This window comes from Homo sapiens, chromosome 7 (genome assembly GCF_000001405.40).
Source record: "Homo sapiens chromosome 7, GRCh38.p14 Primary Assembly".
Classification (NCBI taxonomy): Eukaryota; Metazoa; Chordata; class Mammalia; order Primates; family Hominidae; genus Homo; species Homo sapiens.
The window spans coordinates 118626571-118629230 of record NC_000007.14 but is presented as its reverse complement, the minus strand read 5'-3'; the positions used below and the strand labels follow the sequence as shown (position 1 = coordinate 118629230).

Genomic DNA, 2660 nt, shown 5'->3' with positions numbered 1-2660 from the left:
GGAGTTTTTAATCTTTAAATATTTGTTTAGTGATAAACTGAAAATCACTTTAAAACGTTAGCGATTCACAGTAGTTTTTATTAATATTATTGATTAATGAATAATAAAAGTTACTTTCTAACTGAAGTCCATCAAATAATTGAGGATAATAAAGATTACATTCTTAAAATTAATCTGTGAGTCTAAAAGAAGCCAAAATAAATAAAAAAGCACTATAAAAAGACATATGAGGAAAATATGTATCTTGTTGGCCCTTCTTCCCATCTTAGAATAGCCCAGCCTCCTCCAGCATCTCCTCATTCCATCCTCTGCTTTCTGTGCCCCAGCTCAGGCCAGCACCAGCTCCATGGCCCAGAGCTCATGCACTGACAATCAGTTTCAGGTATCGCAAGAACTGCTTCCTAGAGTTAAGTTCACAACATTATCTACTAACTTCTTAATAGTGAGCATTTCATGCTTTGGAATAGAACATATTTGGGCATACCTAGATTTCTAAGAATTCATGAGATTGACCATTTCTCTATGGGTATTGCCAATTTGATTAACCAGAGCTCTAAATATTTTTATCTGATGTTGCAACTGTTTTAAGAGCTCTTTCTATATATGTAAAAAATGATAATTATAAGCCAAAGCCCTTTGTATTAATGAGATAAATATATTCAAGATTGAATTAGGAAATATTGTATCTGATTAAACTCTAAGAAACATTTAGGAGTAAGTGAGGATTTTTCAAGATTCTGATGCTCTTTAATCTTAGGCTGATAGGGAGAAGATCTAGTGACATTTGATTTGCTTCTTTCTTTGTTTTTCTTTTGAGACAGGGTCATACTCTATCACCTAGATTGTCACAATTACAGATCTCTTCAGCCTCGACCTCCTGGGCTCAATAGATTCTCCCACCTCAGTCTCCTGAGTAGCTGGGACTATGCCACCACACCCAGTTAACGTTTTAATTTTTTGTAGATACAGAGCCTCACTGTGTTGCCCAGGCTGGTCTGGAGCTCTTGGGCTCAAATAATCCTCCTGCCTCACCCTCCCAAAGTACTGGGTTTACAAGTGTGAGCCACTGTGCCCAGCTGATTTGATTCTTTTGATACAATCTAATTATACCTAGGCACGGTGACCCACAGGTCACATCTCTAACACAAACTAATTTTCATTAGGAAATGTTTCACTAAAGTATCTTCACAAATCGAATGTGATTTGTTTAAAAGACCATAAGCAAACATATCCAGTGGGAAATAATGTCCCACACCACAGGATTTTATCCACCTACCATCCTGAGAATGAGTTACCCATTGTGTGTCTGCCTTGTTTTCATGTCTGTAAAATAAATATAATGAGATTGACCTCAATTTATTTCATTTACATAACCAGCAAATACCATATAAGAATATTGTTATTGACACAGGATTCTATTGGTGCCAGAAATTTCCATGGCTGTTGGTGTCTTGCTCAGCTTCGGGCTCACTGACAGTTTTCCTCCACCCACTCTGCCCAGCTGGCTGCACTCAGCTCGCACTACCAGCCTGCATTCCCGCCCACTGTGGGTCTGCACTCAGCCTGCAGCTGGTCCAGGCACGCCACGACCATCCTCCACCTTAGGCATTAACATCTAGATGAGGGGAACGGGATGGCGCCCAAAAACTCAGAAATGCCAGCAACCACAGAGCTCCAAGGGGTGTTAGGCTCTCACCCAGGGAGCCCCAAAGTCTGAGCCTTCAAGGACTGTTACAGCTCTCTCTCCTTCTTGCCGCCCACAGCATGGCAAATGGGGGGCCATGTTTCAGTTTCTTCGTGTTACAGCTCATTTAGTTCTGCCGTCCAGCTCTAGCCTGCAGCTCCTGGGCTGGCTTGGCCCTGCTGCTGCCACTTCCCATTACATAGGGCAGCTGCCTGGCACCAGCAAAGGGCAGGAGGGTTACAGTGTTACAGTTCTGGCTCAGGAATCCCAAGATCTGGGCCCCCAGAAGGGTCACCACTCTTCACTCCCATAGTCCAGTGAATGGGAACATGACACCACCTGCAGCCTGGCAAGCCAGCCAGGAACACGTTACAGATCTTTTCACCCCCGCTGTTCATTGGGCTCCAGGTTCTTGTCCCACAACCAAGAAGAATGAGGTTAAGCGGACACCAGAGAGTGAGCAAGGCAGGGAAGGATTTTATTGAGTGAGTGAAGGAAAGCTCTCTACGGAGAGGGGACCTGAGAGCAGGTGGGCCTCTGTGTGAGATGGGGCCTTGGAGTGGTAGTCCAACATATGGCTGACTTCAGGTTTTTTATAGGCTCGGAATGGGGGAGTGTGTGCTGATTAGTCATTGGCAGGCCTGGACAAAGCGCTGTTTCATTGCTGAAAAAGGCATAGAGGAAGTTCTCACTTTGGTCATGGACTTTACCAGGAACTGGCAGCCTGGTTTTCAGTCTTCAGGATATCTTTGGCTTGAAGGACCCACCCCTGTCTGCCTTAGGAATTTGTCTGACTCTTGCCACTATCGATATTAGGCTTTTATGCTACTTGGATGAAAGTTGTTTCATGAATCTGGTAATTATATTTATTTATATATTGTTATAGTATTTAATTCACATCAATGCACATATTCAGCATTTTCTCTCATTCATTCATTCATTTATTCGTAATTTTGGCTGCCTAATTGTTAAGCAC

The 2660-nt window shown here is 42.8% G+C and overlaps 1 annotated feature.

The window, feature by feature from the left end:
- Positions 1663-2163: an enhancer, noted in NCBI's record as "H3K4me1 hESC enhancer chr7:118267122-118267622 (GRCh37/hg19 assembly coordinates)". NCBI's record gives its function as "activates a minimal SCP1, AML or CMV promoter by ChIP-STARR-seq in primed H9 embryonic stem cells {active_cell/tissue: H9 hESC(primed)}" and the evidence as "EXISTENCE:reporter gene assay evidence [ECO:0000049][PMID:30033119]".